General features: G+C 34.7%; 1 long non-coding RNA gene across 5 annotated transcripts; it reads right to left on the bottom strand.

Moving 5' to 3' along the window:
- Nucleotides 1-879: 879 nt before the first annotated feature.
- LOC105375874 (uncharacterized) lies at nucleotides 880-22344 on the bottom strand. Of its 5 annotated transcripts, none has more exons than XR_928976.3 (5): nucleotides 21959-22344; nucleotides 20499-20730; nucleotides 4100-4190; nucleotides 2028-2098; nucleotides 880-1348 (listed from the first exon to the last, which is right to left on the bottom strand). It is a non-coding gene; the product is annotated as an uncharacterized LOC105375874 (long non-coding RNA). The 5 variants fall into 5 exon arrangements; XR_928979.3 differs by lacking the exon at nucleotides 21959-22344 and adding an exon at nucleotides 20868-20927; XR_928977.3 differs by lacking the exon at nucleotides 20499-20730.
- Nucleotides 22345-22875: the final 531 nt, after the last annotated feature.

The raw sequence follows: 22875 nt of genomic DNA, 5'->3' as shown, positions 1-22875 counted from the left end.
TTTTTGTAAGCCTCATGGTAAGCACAAAGCAAAAACCTGTAATGTACACAGTAAAAATAAAAAGCAGAGAATCCAAATATACTACTAGAAAAAAAATCACTGAACCACAAAAGAAAAAGAGTAAGAGAAGAAGAAAGGAAAAACAATGATCTCTAAAACAAATAGAAAACAAGTAAGAAAATGGCAATAGTAAGTCATCTCCTATCCATAATTACCTTGACTGTAAATGCATTAAATTCTGTAATTAAATTAGATAGAGTTGCTAAGTGAATTTTTTTTTAAATCCCAACTATATACTGTCTAAAAGATACTCAATTCACTCATAAGGACACACATGGACTGAACATGAATGAATAGAAAAAAATATTTCATGCAGATGAAGACCAAAAGAGAACAGGGATAGCTATACTTATACTAGATAAAATGGATTTTAAGTCCAAATCTATAAAAAGAAAAATTAATAATAAAAAAAGCCAATAACCCAATAAAAAATGAGCAAAGAATTAGAATAGACAGTTCACAGGACAAGAATAGCAAATGGTTTGTAAACATATGAAAGGATACATTTTTCATAACAAAAAAGTAAATTAAAATAACACTGAAATATCTTTTCACAGTTCAGATGGTACAAATTCCAAAGTTTGGCAACACACTTTTGTTGAAAAAGGTATGGGGGAACCAGGTCCCTTTCATGTGGAGGGCAAATTAAATATCTGTGGTAGACAATTTAGCAGTTGCTGTCAAAATTACAAATGGAATGTCATTCAACCTGATAGCTTCTCTTCTTAGACAAACTTTCACACATATGAAAATATAAATGTACAAAGGTATTCATTCAACATTCTTTATAATAGTAAAATATTTGAAATAATCCAAATGTTTATCAAACAGAGTCCATTTTATTAAGTTATGGCTGAATTACACATTGGAGTACCTGGATGCTATAAAAGAAGATTGGGAAGTTTCTTTATGTACTAACATGTAATGATCTCTAAGGTAACAAATCAAAGGGCAATGCAGCCTATACATCATTGGATTATTTGTGTTTTGAAGAAAGCAGAGAGAAAGAGTCACTGATTTTCCTTGTTACCTGAATTTTCAGTCTCAGAAGAGTCACTATAATGACTGCCAAAATTTTTTATTCAAAATTCCCTGTCCAAATTGATAAACTGCTAAAATGAATCCACATGCAGGCAGCAACAAATGTTATGCATGATTCCAGGCAAGACCAGAGCGAGCTTCAATCATTTCTCAGGTGTTTTCCAGGAGGCATTGAGTCTCTGTTGATGTCTAATCAAGTTCCACATTATTGTCATCATCTTCTCCATATGCCAGGTAAAAATACCTTCTAAAAGCAGAAAAGAAAATATGTAAGCCTAAAAGATATAGAAATGTTTATACATATGAAGAAAAGTTTGAAGTGATAAAGCATATTGAGAGAGGTGAGTTCATAAAAAGAAAGTATAATTTATAACTGCCCCTGTAGAGTAGTGCTTCTCTAACTTTAATGTGCCTACAAAGCAGCAGGGGATCTCAGCAAAATGCAGATTCTGATTGAGTAGGTTTGAATTTGGGTCTGAGATTCTGCATTTTCTGACAAGCTCTCGGGTGATTTCAATGCTTCTGATATGCAGAACACATTTTGAAGCACAAACTTTGTTGTCACTGTGTACTGCACGTAATGAACGTAATGAACTCATGATGAGTTCACTAAGTGTTGAATATTTAGGTTGTTCATGCAGCTATCCTTGATATACAACAATTGGACAAACGAGCTGTAGTTTTTGATTGCCTGGGAATATATTATTTTTACTTGAAAAATAATATAAGCTCCAACTATCCAAAAACTTGCAATCCAACAGGTTTTCAGAAATGTGTGTGTGTGTGTGTGTGTGTGTGTGTGTGTGTATTAACTTCTGTATACATAAAATAACTCTGGAAAGCTTTGTAAAAATAACAAGAAATTTAATATTGAATAGATGGGAACCATGAATAGTAGGCATATTTCACTGTATTTCCTTTTGTACCTTTTGAATTTAAGTCATGTGACTACATTATTTTTAAGCCATTTAAAATCCTCCCTTCTGAAACTGATGACCTGTTGAAGTAGGACAAAAGGGAAGAAGGATTAATGCAGGTCTGAATCTACAGAAAGCTTTGCCAGGAAAAACATGGTGCTGAACTGACCCTGGCCAGTTTGCAATAATTTATATCTACACACAGAAGCTAATAAGCATACAATGGCCATATACTTATTAAATGAGAATTTTTTATTTTTTCAACAATGTTGTGAAAAATATTTACTAAAACTATACGTAAACAGGATTTTTAAATCACCTCATATGGAAGAACTTACACTGAAAAGAAACAGTAGCCTATCTACCAACCTCTATTTAGGATAGATCCACAGAGGAAGCCATTTTTAATATTTTCTTCCCATGATTATGTCTATGCTGACAAGTCTATAACTAGGCTTATGCACCTAGTTATAGATTCGGGAATTTATACATTAATCATATACTCTCTGCTGTGATGGATGAAGATTTAGCTCACACCATTCCTCACCTCCTCCCACCATCCACTTAAAATAGTTATATCAGTATTCATTTTAGGTTTTCCATTTGTTACACTTATAATGGTGAACAATATGTTTTCATTGTTATTTTTTAATCCCATCAATTGACGCATTATCTCTTGACTCCCCACTCTGTATGATGAGAATGTTCTTGCTCTTGCCCTTCCTTGTAGCTCACTCTCCACCTTTGGTCCTCCAAATATTGTCATCTGTATTTTACATTGACAAGCGTATGACATTTACATTCTGTTCTCAATCATAAATATGCAGCCCACATTTCACCCTAAAAGGTTTATCTTAAAAGTTGAACGTTGATATGATTTGACTGTGTCCCCACCCAAATCTCATCTTGAATTGTAGCTCCCATAATTCTCACATGTTGTGGGAGGGGCCCAGTGAGAGATAATTGAATCATGGGGGAAATTCCTCCATACTGTTCTCCTGGTAGTGCATAAATCTCATGATGGCTTTTAAAAGGAAACCCCTTTTGCTTGGCTCTCCTTCCCTTTTTGCCTACCACCATGTAAGATATGCCTTTCACCTTCCACCATGATTGTGAGGCCTCTTCAGCCACATGGAACTGAGTCCATTAAACCTTTTTTTCTTTATAAATTACCCAGCCTCAGGTATATCTTTATCAGCAGTGTGAAAACTGACTAATACAAACATTTAAGGCAGTGTTACATAACTATGACCATAAAATTATTGTTGACTATAGCCAAATAGTATATGATTAAATTTTATTTCTTATGCAGCTTTTTGTTTTTCCTGAAGTTCCTAATTAATTTCTTGTCTTTCTTCCATTAACCATTTAGTAATTTTAAGAACTCAGAATTTCCCCAATACTCTTATTTTTCTTCTAATATATCATCATATTTTTCCAGTCTCTCCCTTCCCAGACTCTTCTATTTTCTGCTGCAATCTGTACCACTGCCTGCTAACATAATTATTTTCTTCAGCTTTTCTTTGCTGCTGTCCTGGGTTGTATCCCTGCCACCTGGTGGGTCTTTTGACTAGAGGGAAAGCTCTTGGCCAATGCATCCCTCTGGCTACTGCAAGAAGACATTGCTCAGTCTAACAAGGGGTTGAGCTTCTTGAAGAAAAGAATATAAAAAGCCAAAATACCATATTCTGTGCTCTTCTTTGCATGCCACTAGAGTAGCAATCTGTCTTTTTGAGGAGTTCTCTATAATGATGATTCAAATAAGGCAATTTGGAACTTGATCTTAATTTAGTTATTTAACTCATGCCAGTTGTGATTCATTCTGTTTCATATTGAAATCTTATACTTTATTTTTATTTCTGGTATTATTTGGCAGACATGAAATAGAACCACTTTTTTATAATAAAGAATGCTTCATTGTCAAAGAAGTTAAAATATCATGCATAGACTAATGATTAAGGTTTTACAATATTTTACTAATGTACTCTGATTCTATTTCCTTTATAATGATCTATTATTTTAGAGTCTACTTCTTGAGACGCTGTTAGATGAGGTAGGGAAGAAGGTATATGATTACTCACCAACCAGATTAACTTTTCACTTTTTGACAAAGTATTATGTCATGGTTATATACAGCCCTGATTCCATTTAAATATCTGTGTGACAAATATTCTGCAGAGAAAAAAAAAAACAGGACTTGAGTAATGTGACTAATTCAGCATACATAATTTGTTAATGCAGTTAGTTCTGATTCAGAACTATGAAATTTTTAGAATTAATGGAATGCATAAAGATGGACAATCTAAGTTTTACTTTCTTGGTAATGGTTCAATTTACACCAAACCCTAACCTTTTTATGAAGAGATCAGTATCTTGAAGACATTTAATGTACAAATGGCTTATTTTGTTCATTTCCATTTTAAAACCAGACCTAGAAAACTTAATTTGTTTTCAGAGCTCACCGTCCCATCTTTTGCTTCTGCTTAGTGAATGTTTACTGAGTGTGTAGTGTTTATGGCTTCCTCCAACTTACCAAGCACAGTGCTAGATTCTCAGACAAATCAAAATAATTGAAATATACACCTCACTCCAAGTATCTAGTAGTATAAATAGAGATATAAGAAATGTACAGATGAAACAAAAAAAAATATTTAGAACAGTTCATTGTCAGAAGTACCTTGTATGGCACTTAGAGAAAGATGAAGAAAGAAAAAAGAGAAACAAGGGCTGGAATGCCCATAGAAGCCTTCATGAAGAGATATGTGATGATAGAGTTAACCTGCAGGTGATTTTGATGCAAACATTTCAAACCAATTTATTGACTATGAAAGACAAGATTTTTCCACGTCATCTGGAGCATTATTTAACTTCTTGGGTATGTTTTCTTTCTCCCTATGTGATGGGCATAAGATAAAAAGATTAATGCTTGCTTTTGAAAGTTGGCTCTAAATGTCAACATTTTTGTGTATGTGTATGATATTGAGTAGTGCCTATTATTATAACTAAAAATCATACGAGAAAAAAATCTTTATTCTTTGCAAGTAACTTGAACTCAGAAGACATGAACACTTTAGAACATGCATGGAAAGTACCTGACGACCAGCCTAAATGCAATGGAGCAGTCATCCCCCATGACTCTCTGGATAAGCTGACTTTCAACACCAGACCCGTAGCCAAGAATTTATGATGTAGAAATATTTCACTTAAAAATAAATATTTCCTGAAAAACCTAAAAACTATGAAAAGCAAAAGTATTAAGTTGAACCATATTGAACTGCTAGTTCTGTAGGTCAAAGTATCAGCAATTTTCTATGGTGCAATAGAGGATAAGACTGTTTTCCAACATGATTTTCCTGGTAGCCATTAACTATAGATCAGTCTTGGCAAAATAAATAAATAAACCTATAAAGGCTACTTTTACTAAATTTAAGGTTAACAATAGATACATCATCTTTAAAGCAATCAAAATGGGCAACCAAACTTTTCTAAATTCTATGAAGTTTCTTGAAGAAGAAACATCCTGAAGATGAAATCTCCTTGAGGAAGATTCCTTTGTGGATCTCTTGCATTGATTGAGAATCACTAGCTTAATAAAATGTGTATTTGCTTTTCTGTAGATTGATTTAATAGATAGTGCTTATACTAGACCCTTTTAGATTTTCATATAGGAAATAAGGCCAAGAAGACAGAGGGAAAATGTTTGTCAGCCTTGACCCAGAGTTCTCAGGACAAAGAAGAATAACATACTGAGATCTATTCAGCCTTGGCTTCTCACAGATCGTTACAACCAAGATGCCAATTAACACTGAATGTGACAGTGGCTTTTGTGATGTGGACAGCTGGCCACTCAAGGATACACAAGGACCACCTGCTCGTATAACATAGGCCACCAAACAGGCACCAGATGGTGACAACATTTGAATGTGATTACTACAGTCACTTTCATCTCGGCTCCATTTGAACTGGACATTAAGAGAAAGAGCTGTGAAATTCACATTTGATTTTTGGAACAATATGGTTCTCTATAAATCTCACATGTATGACTTACTTGAAGCCAAAGAATCATTGCTGGGCATTGGTGGCCCAACAGAAGTTCTACATCATGTGGCAATTACAAACAATTGGCTTTAACAAGATATACTATACCTGCTGAGATACCCGTATGGAAAGCTTAGAGAGAAAAAAATGTAGAAAAATTAACTACAGGGAAAGACTTGAGTGAGGTGATGGATTTGGGGGTAAATAGAAAAGTAAAAAATGTTTTCCAGAAGAGGCAAGTGTCAAAGCAGGAAAGGAGCCAAGATATGCATATTTTTGGCACTATATCCCAAGTCCTTGAAATTTGATCCTGGCTATACAGATTGATAAGAAAGAACATTCTAGAAATTTTTAGACATGCTTATTGCCCGCAAAAACAATGGTGTACTTTTTCAATCAATATGCAATCTCTTCCCAAGATTGAACAAAATGTTCTGTTAAAGTGGTTGATGCCCAAAGCAATACAGAATAGTTATAAAGTAAAACTTATTCAGCAATTCTTGATACATAGTTTGTACTTTGGATGACGAGGAATCCATGATTGTATTTCACAGGGAGGAAAAGACTTGATATATCATATCCAAATCCTTAGAAAAGAAAATAACATTTCTAAAAGCCAGGGATGATGTGTGGAAAACATCAATAAATTATATAATAATCAAAAGCCCATAGAGATTTCACTAACATAATTTATTCTGCATTATAGACTGATGTGGTCTCTACCCATCTATGAAAAAAAAAATCAGATTCCCATTTCCCTAACAATGTAGGTGAATCTTGTTGAGAAGAGCAGCCAGATGTCCAATATGATTTCCTGAATTTCATAATGCAACTAACTTAGCAGGTGACCCTAAGTCTCTAAATCAAATTGTTAGGGCTTTGGAGGTCTCCTAGCTAGGCAAAAAGGGGTCAGTATGAAAACAATTCTGAAAAAAGCTAGAAACAGCAAAAGGAAAGAGCAGGAAAAAATATTGGTGAAATTTGACAAATGTATTTCTCAGCATTATGTCAAACATGTTTACTGAGCTGCACAATTAATAAAAAATATTCTGTACTAGAGTCCCTAATTATTATTCTACACAGGACAGAACACCTCTTCATTATCCCTTTTTGAATTGATTGTGTACATCAAACAGTCGAGATATAAATAAAATATGCCTGCATGCATAATACCCTCACATTAAAGCTGGAGGCAATTAACCTATGATTTTTCATTAATTAAATTAAAATAACCTTCTAAAAAATGTCTAAAACCATAACAGGTTTTTTAGTGTGTATTTTCCTCCCAATGATGCAGAGAGGCTGTTTACCAGATTTATCACAAATGCTGTTTTTGATTTTATCCCCGGCTTGTCTCTAATTTTCTCCTGAGGTTCCAGTCTCATTTAGCTAAACCCAATTACAAAGTCAGAGGTTTGGGGTTCTTTTTTCTATCTTTAAAAAATACCTGTTCTCATCAAGATTTTATTATTATTATTAAACTGTCCAAGCATCTTCTCCTTGAGTTGTATTTCTATTATGTAAGTGGAGAGCTGCAAATTATTTGGTGAATTTGCTGAATACAGGCAGTTGAGCCACATAAATGGGATATCAGAAGGAAAGAATAGGTCTGAACATGGGGTTCCCTCAGCTAAGCTGGAAAGCTCTCCCTACCTCCTGCTTGGGCTCCTTCCAATTCCTCCTTGACTTTTCTGATTTCCAGTCATCACAAGTTGTTCATTCTTCCAGTATTCTCCCCTTTAAAAAGTGTTTTTATTTTAAAATAGGCATAAAAGGTTATATATATATGTATATATATATATATATATATACATATATATATATATATATATATATTCCAAGGAACATAACCTTAATGCTGGAATTACTTTGTTTTGCTTTTCTCTAAACCCCTTCTCAGACCCACTGAAATCCCACTATATTAAGGGACCACATATTCCCAGATTTCTCCCACCTAAAGTCAACTTTTCTTGGTAGACAATTAGGTGTTCAAATTTTTCCTAAACATCATGTATTGGTTGGCTTGTCTTTTCCATATATATTTACTCTTTTTCTCCTATGCAGAGAATCTCTCCCTAAAATATTGTATTGCTTCCTTTTTCTTGATTCCCACCACCATGACCTAATATGGACACTCATAACTTTGCCCTTATACCTAAGTTCTCCCTCTAATTTGACTCATTGCCTCTAAGTTATCCTTCTACAATGTGCACTACCTGTACAACACATCTTCCTACAGCCTTATTTTCCCCTGGACCCCCTCATCACACATCTACATCAGCGTGATAGCAAACATTATCCATTACACATCCGACAAACCTTGTCACCTTTCCCATCTATTTCCTGCTAGGAGAGTTCTGAATTTTGTATTCTAGTGTATTATAGAATCTAGAAGAGATTATAATCTTACCCCAAAAAAATGGCCACTCCTCCATTCTATGATGGTCTACACCAGTCAATGGCTTAGGAGTAGGCACTTGACCCAGTTCTGGCCAATGAACTTTACAGGAAAGTCAGTGTGGGACTTCCATCCCTGAATAAAATGATAGCATCTCATAAGGAGAAAAGATCATACTCCTACACTTTTCTCACAGCTTGGAATACTGGTATAAGAATGTGATGGCTAGTGCTATGCCAATGATAAGAATAGATCAAAAAGACAAAAGATCAAACAACTTTGAGTCCTTCATGACACCAAGCTGCTGAACTAATGCTTCAAGGCTTTTTATTAAAGAAGAATAAGAAATGTAAAGTTAATATACTGAATTTAATTGAAAAAGATCAAAAAATTATTTTACTGTACAAAATGAATCTGCAAAAAGACTACGTAAAGTATTGTTGTTCACCATACCAGGTTTGGAAACTCACTGGCACAGAAGACCATGAATATACCCAAGACTATGTCATGATAAATTACCATAGGAAATTGATAACATATTACACAGGACGTAATGTCAGGGTACACACTATTTCCAATCTGACAAAGACATCGGAGAAATTTACTAAGCACATATTTGAACAATCGTAATCTGTCATGTGTATTCTCAGAAGTCCCTGGAGAAGTACATGCCTGACAGGGTACAATGGCATTGGAGAAGCTATTATAGTCAATTCTATGAATCAGATACCCTGATTCTCCAAGGCAGTTTTTACAAGAGCAGGTCAATGTCTTTTGATTAAAGCTTTATTTTAAAGTGATAAAAGGAATTTGAGGAAGGGTTTCCTTTTGGTTATAATATCTTTTAAAACTACATTAAGATAAGTGCTCTTTATACAAAGGTATCTTTTGACAAAAGAGGATTTTACAACAAATAAATCTTGAAATGATGCATTAATTTAATTTTTACTTCAGATCATCAATAGACCACAATATACTATGCAGAAAAAATTATAATGCACAAAGAGATATAAAATATTAATGTGACTGAATTTTACAAATCTGTACATAAGATTTTTAGGTACTTCAAAGCAGTCAACTTGTAAGGTCATGTCCTTATTGTGATATGCTCTAATATACTCTGCATATGCATCCTTGACAGTGGCAAATCCTCAACCTTTAAGAATGGAATTTTGTTTTTAAAAATTGGCGTTACATTTAATGAAATTAATCTCACCTTGCCAAAAGTCTTGTTCTCCTCAAAGCCCAGGAGAACTTAAGTCTCCCTCATACCCTGTGTCCTGCAAGTCAGGCCATACCAATGTCACATGGGTCACAGGACCCAGATTCCTTGCCATGACTCTTGCACATCAAAGGCCTTATTCCTTCAAATGAGGACTCTGGAACTCTCAGAGTCCAAGGATCCAACCTTTCACCATGCATAAACTGAAGAGCGTTCCTATGATGTAATGTAACTCATGGTCTTAAATCCCCAAATTCATGAGATCAACTCAGTTCTCTTGACTTCATTTCCAAAGGCTCACCTAATCTAATCTATCTGGTACATCTTGACCTACCACTATTACTCCAGTGCTTTTACACCATGGTATGCAGGGCTCATGCCTATACTTCACCAGTGTCCCTGAGAACTCAGGTCTCAGTATCCTCCATATATTATTTTCACACATTCTTCTCTTTTGTGTGGCAGGCTTATCAGCTTCTGTTGATGCCCTTTCAGTACCTTGTTTATAGGGACCATGTCAGAAAGTATGCTGAATATTGCATCAGCCTTTGTAGTCATTCCACCTTTCTTTATCTCAAACCCCATAACTTCCTCCAGCAATGACTCTCAGAAATCATTCCTATTCTTATTCATGCCATTCATTACATACCATCAACCAAAACTCCTATAGATACTCCTTAAAAGGTACAAAAGTTTGGAAATAAAGTACATATGATAGTTCTCATCATTCTCTGACACTAAACTGTAAGGTCAACATGTTAGCTCTTTGTTTCCAAACTTGCATTATATGAATAAATCTAGATAAACATTTTTTATTTAGGATTGGTATCCCCCATCTCTCCAAATTCTCATTACTCACTATCTAAAAATTCAGTATAAAAGATTCAGATGAAGTCATCTGACCTCACTGTCTGAGCTCTTGCCATTCAAATCCAGTACCAAATATTAATAGATTAGGGGATGTCGAAGGATATTTACTGGGCCAAAATTATAGAGCCATATGGAACACAATGACTCACAAGGCCTTCAAGACTTCATTAAAATCAGACTTAATATATTCATATTTTTAATAAATAATGTGCATATGAAAGGAGGATTTGTCAGCCATGAAAAAGCACAGATATGGGACAGACAAAGAGTAGACCTGCCCCAACTTGTGCCCCAAACATATTTCAACATGCTCCTCCTAAAAGAGAGGACACTTTAGCCAAAGCTTTAAGTATTTCTGGTCTATTTCAGTAAAACAAGTTAAAAAAATTGTTTTTAAATGGAACACTATGTGGATCTATATATAGCACGTCCTTCTAGGATATCAGAGTCTAGCCATTCATTTTCTTCAAGCTATTTTACAACTCTCTCTAAGTTGATAAGTGCATAAATTATGTCTTGTCCAGCAGAGTTTTCATTGGTTTCCTTTCTCTGCTGTAGAAAAACTAGTTTTGCCTCCACTTGCAGTTCAATTCCTTTATTCCAAATACATTTGTGCTTTTTTACTTTTCATTTCAACCAGTTATAACATTGGCCATGTTACTTCATTGAATGAGTAAAATAAATTCTGTAACATGTTCATTTTTAAATATTTATATCTGTACGAGTCAGGATTACAACTTTTTCCTGAAAATTATCTTTCTTAACAACCTTAAGGCTATCTTAATGTGGTCTGAATGAATATTTGCCTTAACTAATTTCTCTTATAACAATTTGATGTTCAACAAGTATTTATTTGATTTTAATTGGCATTCCATGTTGACCTTCCTTTTGGAAGAGCATGCAAATATAAGTGTTTCAGTTCAGTGGCAGTTATATATTTTATTATAAACATCAAATAACTCCACTCAAATGTAAATGATGAGCACGCAAAACAGTTTTGAATAAAGATGAAATATGGGCAAATATAGTGGAAGAGCATGTGCTTTAGAATCAGACCTGGAATTAACTTCTAGCTGTGCCAGTTTATAAGCTGTATGACCTTGGGCAAGTCACTTGATCTCTCAGAATCTGAGTTTGTACATCAGCAAATATGGATACTAATACAGGATTGCTGGGGAAATTTGTAGTGCCATATTTCTAATCTAATTGTCAGCAGAGATCATCTTTTCCTTTTCATGCTGCAACCTCTGGAAAGTTCAGTCCCAAAGGCTCTATTGAGTCCCACTTCCATGGTCATCTCTTCTTCTAAATTACTATTTCTACTAAATCTTTGATCTCTTTCACATCCTGCCTCTTGTGTCTTCCTCTTTTCTCTAACTGTGCCACCCCACAGGAAGCACAGCCCCTTTTTTGTCTGATTTCCCCAAAGCACCACCACTCACTCAAGCCTTTATGCCTAGTAGACAGTAACAGAATATTAACAGACTTTAAAGTAAATATTCAAAATATTGAGGGCTGTTGTCTGCTCCCAACCAACTTTCCTGCTAAAATGGCTTCCTCTCATACCAAAACATGGCAGAGACACAACAAAAAAAGAGAATTTTAGAACAATATCCCTGATGAACATCGATGCAAAAATCCTCAATAAAGTACTGGCAAACCAAATCCAGCAGCACATCAAAAAGTATATCCACCATGATTAAGTGGGCTTCATCCCTGGGATGCAAGGCTGGTTCAACGTACGCAAACCAATAAATGTAATCCAGCATATAAACAGAAACAAAGACAAAAACCACATGATTATCTCGATAGATGCAGAAAAGGCCTTTGACAAAATTCAACAGCCCTTCATGCTAAAAACTCTCAATAAATTAGGTATTGATAGGACGTTATCTCAAAATAATAAGAGCTATTTATGACAAACCCACAGCCAATATCATACTGAATGGGCAAAAACTGGAAGCATTCCCTTTGAAAACTGGCACAAGACAGGGATGCCCTTTCTCACCACTCCTATTCAACATAGTGTTGGAAGTTGTGGCCAGGGCTATCAGGCAGGAGAAAGAAATAAAGGGTATTCAATTAGAAAAGAGGAAGTCAAATTGTCTCTCTTTGCAGAGGACATGATTGCATATTTAGAAAACCCCATCATCTCAGCCCAAAACCTCCTTAAGCTGATAAGCAGCCTCAGCAGTCTCAGGATATAAAATCAATGTGCAAAAATCACAAGCATTCTTATACACCAATAACAGACAAACAGAGAGCCAAATCATGAGTGAACTCCAATTCACAATTGCTTCAAAGAGAATAAAATACCTAGGAATCCAACTTACAAGGGATGTGAAGGACCTCTTCAAGGAGAACTACAAACCACTGCTCAACGGAATAAAAGAGGATACAAACAAATGGAAGAACATTCCATGCTCATGGATAGGAAGAATGAATATCGTGAAAATGGCCATACTGCCCAAGGTAATTTATAGATTCAATGTCATCCCCATCAAGCTACCAATGACTTTCTTCACAGAATTGGAAAAAACTACTTTAAAGTTCATATGGAACCAAAAAAGAGCCCGCATCGCCAAGTCAATCCTAAGCTAAAAGAACAAACCTGGAGGCATCATGCTACCTGACTTCAAATTATACTACAAGGACATAGTAACAAAAACAGCATGGTAGTGGTACCAAAACAGAGATATAGACCAATGGAACAGAACAGAGCCCTCAGAAATAATACCACACATCTACAACCATCTGATCTTTGACAAACCTGACAAAAACAAGAAATGGGGAAACGATTCCCTATTTAATAAAAGGTGCTGGGAAAACTGGCTAGCCATATGTGGAAAGCTGAAACTGGATCCCTTCCTTACACCTTGTACAAAAGTTAATTCAAGATGGATTAAAGACTTAAATGTTAGACCTAAAACCATAAAAATCCTAGAAGAAAACCTAGGCAATACCATTCAGGACATAGGCATGGGCAAGGACTTCATGTCTAAAACACCAAAAGCAATGGCAACAAAAGCCAAAATTGACAAATGGGATCTAATTAAACTAAAGAGCTTCTGCACAGCAAAAGAAACTACCATCAGAGTGAACAGGCAACCTACAGAATGGGAGAAAATTTTTGCAATCTACTCATCTGACAAAGGGCTAATATCCAGAATCTACAAAGAACTCAGACAAATTAACAAGAAAAAGACAAACAACCCCATCAAAAAGTGGGCAAAGGATATGAACAGACACTTCTCAAAAGTAGACATTTATGCAGCCAACAGACACATGAAAAAATGCTCATCATCACTGGCCATCAGAGAAATGCAAATCAAAACCACAGTGAGATACCATCTCACACCAGTTAGAATGGTGATCATTAAAAAGTCAGGAAACAACAGGTGCTGGGGAGGATGTGGAGAAATAGGTGTGCTTTTACACTGTTGGTGGGTCTGCAAACTAGTTCAACCATTGTGGAAGACAGTGTGACAATTCCTCAAGGATCTAGAACTAGAAATACCATTTGACCCAGCCATCCCATTACTGGGTATATACCAAAAGGATTATAAATCATGCTGCTATAAAGGCACATGCACACGTATGTTTATTGCAGCACTATTCATAATAGCAAAGACTTGGAACCAACCCAAATGTCCATCAATCATAGACTGGATTAAGAAAATGTGGCACATATACACTATGGAACACCATGCAGCCATAAAAAATGATGAGTTCATGTCCTTTGTAGGGACATGAATGAAGCTGGAAACCATCATTCTCAGAAAACTATCACAAGAACAAAAAACCAAACACCGCATGTTCTCACTCATAGGTGGGAATTGAACAAAGAGAACACTTGGACAAAGGAAGGGGAACATCACACACGGGGGCCTGTCATGGGGTGGGGGGGGGGAGGGAAAACATTAGGAGATATACCTAATGTAAATGATGAGTTAATGGGTGCAGCACACCAACATAGCACATGTATACATATGTAACAAACCTGCACATTGTGCACATGTACCCTAGAACTTAAAGTATCATAATACTAGAAATAAATAAATAAATAAAATGGCTTCCTCTCATACCCAACATTTTCCTCATATCTCCCCCTCTGCTCCCAAACACCAAAATTTTTGTTGTATTTTTTTCAAAAATCAGTTTAATTACCCCTTATTTTCACTCACAAGGACATTCTTGTGCCCATAGAGACTGTTTCTGAGAAGAATTTGGTGGTCAGCATTTAAAGTAACGTTATTTTCTCTTAGCTACATTCCTAAAATTCCTGGAAGAGCAGACATTCAATTAGTGGTAGTTATTATCATTATGTGTATAGATCCCCAAGGTAATGACCTTGAAATGCTATTCTCACTTGAATATATAAATTCTTTCATGTCTGTTAAAAAGCCATTTCCATTATTTTATGGTTATCCCATACAAATTACCATTCCAGAGACCATGGAGAATAATTCAATGCTTTTGTTTTTTAGAGTGCTGAAAAATAACTCACTATCATTACATTTTTAATTATATCCCAACAAATGGACAGCTTTTTCTTTGTTTTGCTCCTACAATTACTTCTTTTCTTGTGTAAAACATATTCTGCTTTGGATTTGGGAAAATCCCCCATCTGTGCCTCCTCGTAGGCTGCTGACACCATGGCCAGGGTCTACAATGTGACCTAGGACTAGAAACACCACGTTCTACTTGCGGACCTCAAGTATTGGTCAGAAATGGACACATTACCAAAATCCATTGAATCATACCAAATCGGACTTAATTCTAGGATATTAGCAGACATTTTTAGGAAGGTGGACCATCCAAACTGGAGCTCTTATAGACATCTTATTATTGTCATATAGGGGGATAATTTGTCTGAGAATAAAACCAATGCAGCAGAAGACTGCACTGAAAGCTTGAGAGAAATCTGATCCTTGTGACATTTGCATGAACCGTTCGTCAGGCAATATTTGAGGCCAGGCCTATCCCTAAATTTCTGCTGTTGTTATATAACAGAATAAGCTCTCCTTTTTTTTAAGCCACCTTGGATTGAATTTTCTATCCCTTGTAACAGAGAATCCTGTGTGACTGACTCATTTCATACAAACGGATTTAAATAAATTCAAAGAAATACACACAACCATACATATAAAAGTAAACAGAGGCATGGAGGCATACAATTAATAAATGAAAGAAATTTAGACAAAATTATGTGTAAACCAACTGTGCAAAACTGCATGTAATTAGTTTCCAAAGGAGAGGTCCAAATTCAGGACATTCCTAATGGCTAATTAATTAATAGTTGTGAATTGCATAATATCCATGAAATTAAATAAAATCAATTGAATAGAAGGGCCCCAGTGTCCTGGTTCAAGAGGGAAAATCTTTAATAGATCTTCATAGAGGGATATTGTATGCATCATGGAAGGCAAGGTCCTCAGTGATAGACTTACCAAGAATGGAATAGTGAGCTTCTTTTAACTGTTTCTTGTAATGAAGCTCAACAAAAAGCCAAAGTAATGACACCAAGACACAATTTTGTAAGAGCAGTTACATGAAAGACTGAAAGACTGTGGTCTTATTACACAGCTCTCTGACAGCTAAGAGCCCAGAATTAGACTGTCTTTAGGTCAATGGTTCTCAAACTTTTTAGCAGTAGACATTTTTATCCGTATGAAACTGTGTGTGGAGCTGATCTGTTTGACTCCTGACTGGGGAGTCCGGAGAACCCACTCATCAACAGACCTGTCACACCACTTACCCTCTGTCTACCATGGCAGTCCCTGTGGAACACCAGGCCTCTGACAGTTTTTTTAAAGAAAAGAATATATTCTGCACCATAAGACAGGGTGAAAAAAAATTTTACATAAAAAGAATATATTAATGTCAATTCAGAAATAGTCCATAAATTGTATTTTTCCACATTTGAGCTATCCGAATTTCAAAGCAGAAAACTCAATTTCAAATTATCTAACATTGAGGAAGGGCAGGACCTATATGCGTTAGTGATCAACTAAGTGAACAATAGGATTTCATCCTTCAATCCTTTCATACCCCAGGAAAATAAATGAATTCCATCAAGATATGTTCCTGAATATCAGACTATCTATCTCTGAACAGAGATGCATAAAGGTAGTACCTGAGAGGGTAAGCCACAGCTTCCTAAGGAAACAGTTCTGGTTTTATCCTGAGGCAAAGACAAGTAGGCAATAAGGATCCAAGAATTCTGTGTCATAGAGCCTATCTTAAATCACAATATCTTATAAACATTTCAAACAATATAGAACCTCTCATAGCCTTCACAGTGTCCAACTTTGAACAATGTAATTTCTTAGAGAACTCTTAAAAATACATTGGCTGAAAATACATCTTCATGAAAATGAACAATTTGAGAAAACATAATTGAATATAAGCCAATTAAATGTTGGAAGGTATTTACCAAAAATGATCATTTGGGATCTAGAATAGTGAAATGATGTACATTCATCTTTTAAGACAGCTTGATAGCAAAATCAATTATAACTTGAGACAGAAAACTCATGTTATTGATGTAAAGAAAAATATTTATCTTTCGATTCTGAATAGCATGAATCTATTTACTTCAGAAGCAGTTTCAAGTCATTATGATATCAGGAGAACAAAGAAGAAAATATATGCCTATTGTGCACTAGCATATTTTCAATGAGCCTATTCTCAAACCAGTGGTAGGCACCAAGTATCTCATTTTGTCGGGAGGTTTTAGAATGCAGTTTCTTTGTGAATCTCAGTAATGAGGAGTTTATATCACTTTTATATGGCTTAGTCTAGAAGCTGAAAAACTACAGTCCACAGGCCAGATGTCTAAATAAAGATTTTTTGAAACACAACCACACCCATTTGTTTATGTGTTATCCATGCTGCTTTTGTGTTCCAATGTACAATCTGAGTGGCTGCAATAGAGACTTTATGACAGTGAGACTGAAATATTTATTCTATACTCCTTTAAGAAAAACTTTGTCCACTTTGGACTTGGTTAATACCTGCGAACTGCCCTGGATCAAAGGCCAATAAAATATCAAAAAATGTTAAGTACTTTTTTATTCACAAAGTTATGATGTAAAGTCATGGGTGAATATTGTCAATATTAGATGAGTAAAACTTAAAGCCCAGATGTTCATCATGTAGAATATTGGCCCAAGAAGCACACATTTAAAATCAGTTTGGAAGGAAACTAATAGCGTTCAGAAGACATGCCTGGTTAATCAATGGACCTATAATGCAGGGCAAGGTAGAATAATTTTAAAAACTGAACAGTTTTTAAAAACTTTTAAAAACTGAACAGTTTTTAAAAACTTTTAAAAACTGAACAGATTAATCAATGGACTTATCTGGTGAAATAGAGAATACCTTGCTAAGGATTGAATAATGGGCCTATGACATAGAATGAAGCAGATCACTTTTTTAAAACTATTAATAATCTACTGATTATTCTATGAGCCCATCCAGATGGAAAAAATACAGAGCCCGTAGTTTGCAAACAAACCATTTAAAAATCCAGAGAGCTAGAAGTCTTCAAGAGGAATTTTACTTAATTTGAGCTCTTCAATCAGCTATTCCAAGCAAACAACCACTGTTTACATTATTAAAATCTGAAAAACATTTGGAGACTACAAAGTTCAAGCAGTTCTCCTCAAATCAAATTAACCTCCTTTGTTGTACTTTAATGAAGGTTTACCTAATCCATGTGTTTTCCTCAGAGATGTGAGAGCTATCATTCCCAGGAAAACTCAGGACTTGGTGTGAGTAAGAGAAATAAAAGAGAAAATATCTATAGAAGGGCCAAAAAAAGAATAAATGAAAGAGAAAAATAAATGTGCTCCAAATAAGAGGAACAAAACATTTCTTAGCATAAATATTACAGACCACAGTAAAGCCTCTCTCATTTAAACCTGGAGAGAGCAGAATTACCTGCCTGCCATCTGTGCTTGCCAAGCCAGAAACAAAGCTTGCCAATTGGCATGCCTTAACCAGATTCACAAAGCTCAAAACCAACTTTCCATTTGGAGCAGACCCCCATTGAGGAAAAAGATCTGCATAATGGCAGAAGAAATCAACATCAATTACCTATAATAATCAACCTAGACCCTTATAAGTAATTCTAAAATGAATTAATAAGAAGCTGCTCAGCATTTGAGAAGTATCAACAATGTGAAAGAAAACTGAAAAGATCAGAAGAATGAATAATTTTGAGTAAAACAAGATTATTTGGGGGAATGGAAGACAACTTTTTTAAAAATCTAAATTCGATAAATTGATTAATGACAATTATGATACCCAGAAAACCAGACTGCCATCTATAAAACAAAAATTATATCAATAAAAGAACACAAAAAAGATTTTATAAAGTAAAAATATGATTGGAAAAAAATCAATAGAAATGTTGGATAAATAGTTATGGTACTCTCCTAACCTTTTAGCAAAAAAGACAAAAAGATTTTAAAAAAATAGAGAAATGTCTTATAAGATGAGTTAAAACAGAAGAAACTACAGGAAAAAAAATAGGAGGGAAGTAATAATCAAAGATGTAGTCGAAGAAAATATTTTAGAGCTGAAGAAAATTACTAGAATAAATGGTATCAGAAAGATAATTGAAAAAGCCTTATACCTAGACACATTCTAGTAAAATATAAAAACAAGGATACAGACAAAATTCTAGAAGCATCCAGAAAGAGAAAACAAAAATAACAAATAATCATATTGCTATTACATATTTCATTCAAAATAGTGCATGTTGAAAAGCAATGGAGCAATGTCTTCAAAGTTCCAAGGGGGAGAAATCAATATGACTCTAGAACTCTTCACGTAACTAAACTACTAATAACATGTGACCACAAAATAAATGCATTTTAGACATGCAAAAACTTTGAAACTTTTTCACAGATATATTTTATGTAAAAAAAAAATCACTACAGGAGATAATTGAACAGTGTTCAAGTCAGTGACTCAAAAACACTGACAGCTGAATGTATCATACACACAAAAAAGGGAACCTAGTAGGAAAATGACAAAATGTTGAAGCCACAGGAACACATTTCCTTTTCTATGGGTGACAACTTACTGCTTGATTGTTCACTAAATAATAGGTCCTCAGAGTTTAAAAGTAACCTAAAGACAAAATAGGATTCTTAACTATATTTATAATATTGAATAAAAACATTAAAGCACTTGAAAATTTGTAAATAAAAATATTGAAATTTTTCTCACTTTACATAGACAAAATCAAAAGATAATTATCTGAAGTTAATTAAGAAATGGATTTAAGTATAATATTTAAAGTTATAAATGTACAAGAATAAAGAGTAGTATAATTATTAAAAATTATGAGTAGGGAGAAAGGTATAAGGGTGACAGGATTAAGTTAATGTTTTCTTTTTATACTGGGGTGTAAACAGATGTTGTTTAAAGTTGCTAAATACAGAAAGAGACATAAGATTTAAACAAGAAGAATTAACAGAAACTGTGAAAAGTGGTTATATCTAAAAAGTGGGACTACAGTTGAGTAATATCATAGGAGATTTTTCATTTCATACTTTTTTGCACTGTTTCAAATTTTTCCATGGGCATATATTACTATAACAACATTAGCAATAATAAAGATAATTATGGGAAATGCTAACCAGGATATGGGTTTCCAGCACCTCACTCACCATATTCACCTATAAGAAACACAACCCCAGAATCTACAGTTATTCTAGCACCTCATTCACCATATTCATCTATAAGAAACACAACCCCAGGATGTACATTTACTCCCAGTTCTGAGCATCAACACAAGTCTTACCTCAAGCTTTTATTTGATATTTTTAGAAGAAACAATACTCTTAAAATTTAAATATGATAAGAACTCAGGTGGGAACTCCTGAGTTCCCTCTTTCTTGTTGCACCAGTAATTTTAGCAATGTAGTTTTTCACTTACCATCATTCTTTATCAAGTCAAAAATTAGAATTTGTGAAGTGGAAAAAAGTTCCTCTCTTGAGACATTCAGTAGATCCTGGGACACCAAATAATTATCATAAAAATTCAAAAATCTCTCCAACCATTTTGTTCTTCTTAACCCTTTTATCCAATCAGGAGTACAAATAGGCCGCAGGTTGAGGGTAATATGAGAGGAAATTGATCACTTTCTGCCTAGTCCAAAGACTCCTTCCTAAGTATGGCAGTAAGCAGAGAAGAGATAATTATAGTTGTTTCTCAGATCACCCCTAGGGCTCCATTATGTGCTTTCATTCAGCAGGATCTGTTTCTTCTAGTGAAGAATTATTCATTCAGATTAATTCAACTTACAAAGGAGAAGAGTTCCAGAGACACAATCCTCTCCTCTGCAATGTGTTCCAGGAGTGGTCCGTGGAGCACGCCCCAATCCGGTCATTTCAATGTCCAGAGATAATTACCTCCACCATGGAGAACCCACAATAAATAACAGTTCAGATTATTGGTATCAAGCCAGACATCCAGTAGCCTATGTAAAACAAGTGGAACTTCTCCAGGAAAGGCTTTTGGATTTTCCTATGAGACCAAACACCAAGAAGTCCTGAGAATAAACAGGATGGCGGTGGTTCGCTTACCTTTGTTTACCTTTGTTATTTTGCCCTTAAAACAAAAGTTTTGAAATCATGGGGATAAAAATATTGCTATTAACATTGAGATAATATTAAAACCTATCAGGAAAGCTAGTTCATCTAGATCTTTATTTTTGAAACCCCAATGAACCACATTTTTAAAAGGAATCTTAAGAAGTGGCAATTTTCAAAAAATCTAATCATAAGAATACAGTTTTTCTTCTTAAGATTTGGTGGCTCAAACACTGCAGCTGTTGTTGAGTGATCTGGCCCAAATAAAAAGGCTCCCCAAACTCATCAAACCCCACATGGGATAATCTATTGACTTTTTATGTCATAGTACCCAAACTGGAGTGTCTCATGGTGATTTGTACAGACTCCAGAAGAAAAATCTTCATGCAGGAAAAAAGGAGTCAAGAAATGAATGGAATTCAGGTAACAGTTACGCACAATAAATATAATTAGTATATGTATCTAATTGTACTCTAAAGAACTGTGCATTTATGTATACATATGTAACAAACCTGCACGTTGTGCACATGTACCCTAAAACTTAAAGTATAATAATAATAAAATAAAAATAAAAAAAAGAACTGTGCATTCACTGTATGTAAAGTTTACCTCAATTTAAGAAAAAAAGAAAGAAAATGAGTTACCCTGAAGTTCTAATCCTCTGAGAAGGTGAAGGTATAGAAAGTATTGCTTTATTTGCAGGCTGTTCTTACTTTGCACAGTTCCAATATGCATGAATTTCAATTATCACAGGTTAGTTAAATAACAACAGTTTCCCAACAACACAGTTTAAATTTCACTTACCACAATCACAGTCTATTAACAGAACAATTGCATAAAGCAGAAACTGCTGCTAACTTGTCAGTTCACAAATCACTATGTAAATAACAGATGCACTGATAATCGGTGAACAATCACATCATTTGCTTCAAAATCTGTTGGTGACAGGCCAGTGGTATCTGAGGTTCAGTTCACACAGTGTGTAGTTGTGTTGCCTCCTGGTCGGCTGGAAATAAACCGATGTCACATTTCATGAAAATAGATACTCAAAAGAAAGAATTGGCCAACAAAGATGAAAGTGCAATGAAGAAACTAAAAGCGATAACAATATAAGTAAAATTTAAATCAAACATGCACAGCACAGAAGACATAGCTGACTGGGAATATTGACACCGCAGCCATTCAAGAGAGTCTAGATATGCAGCCAGTGGAATTTAGCTAAGGTGAACAACTTACCAATATAAATAAGCAAAGCATTTGTGACAAAAAAGAAAAGAGGAAGATGTCATAGAGGAAGTGATGCCAGGAAAAATCTTCACATTAAAGGACATCTCAGAAATATTTCACATTAAAAGCACAAAAGATAAACTGCTGGAAGCTAATCCAAACTTTGGAAAGAGTGTGACAATTCACCACGCAATAGAAAAGATATTCATTCTACATTTTAAGTTATATGAGAAGGCAAGCATGTTCAAATTATTTTTGATACTTTTTTTTTACAAATAAATAATGGAATTCAATTATCAATGTTTCTAATGTTTTAAATTATGGTGCTATAAGTAAATATTAATTTAGCCAGCTTTTTTTTCATTTTGCTATATATTTCCAACCTACAGTAACAGAGTTTTAGTGTTTTAACATTTTTAAGAATTGAGGACAATTGTAATTTTTCTCATTAGTTATTAAGATTGCTTTGCATAGATTCAGTTTGCATGGTCTTT

This window comes from Homo sapiens, chromosome 8, assembly GCF_000001405.40.
Source record: "Homo sapiens chromosome 8, GRCh38.p14 Primary Assembly".
Lineage (NCBI taxonomy): Eukaryota > Metazoa > Chordata > Mammalia > Primates > Hominidae > Homo > Homo sapiens.
This window is presented reverse-complemented; position numbering and strand designations above follow the sequence as displayed.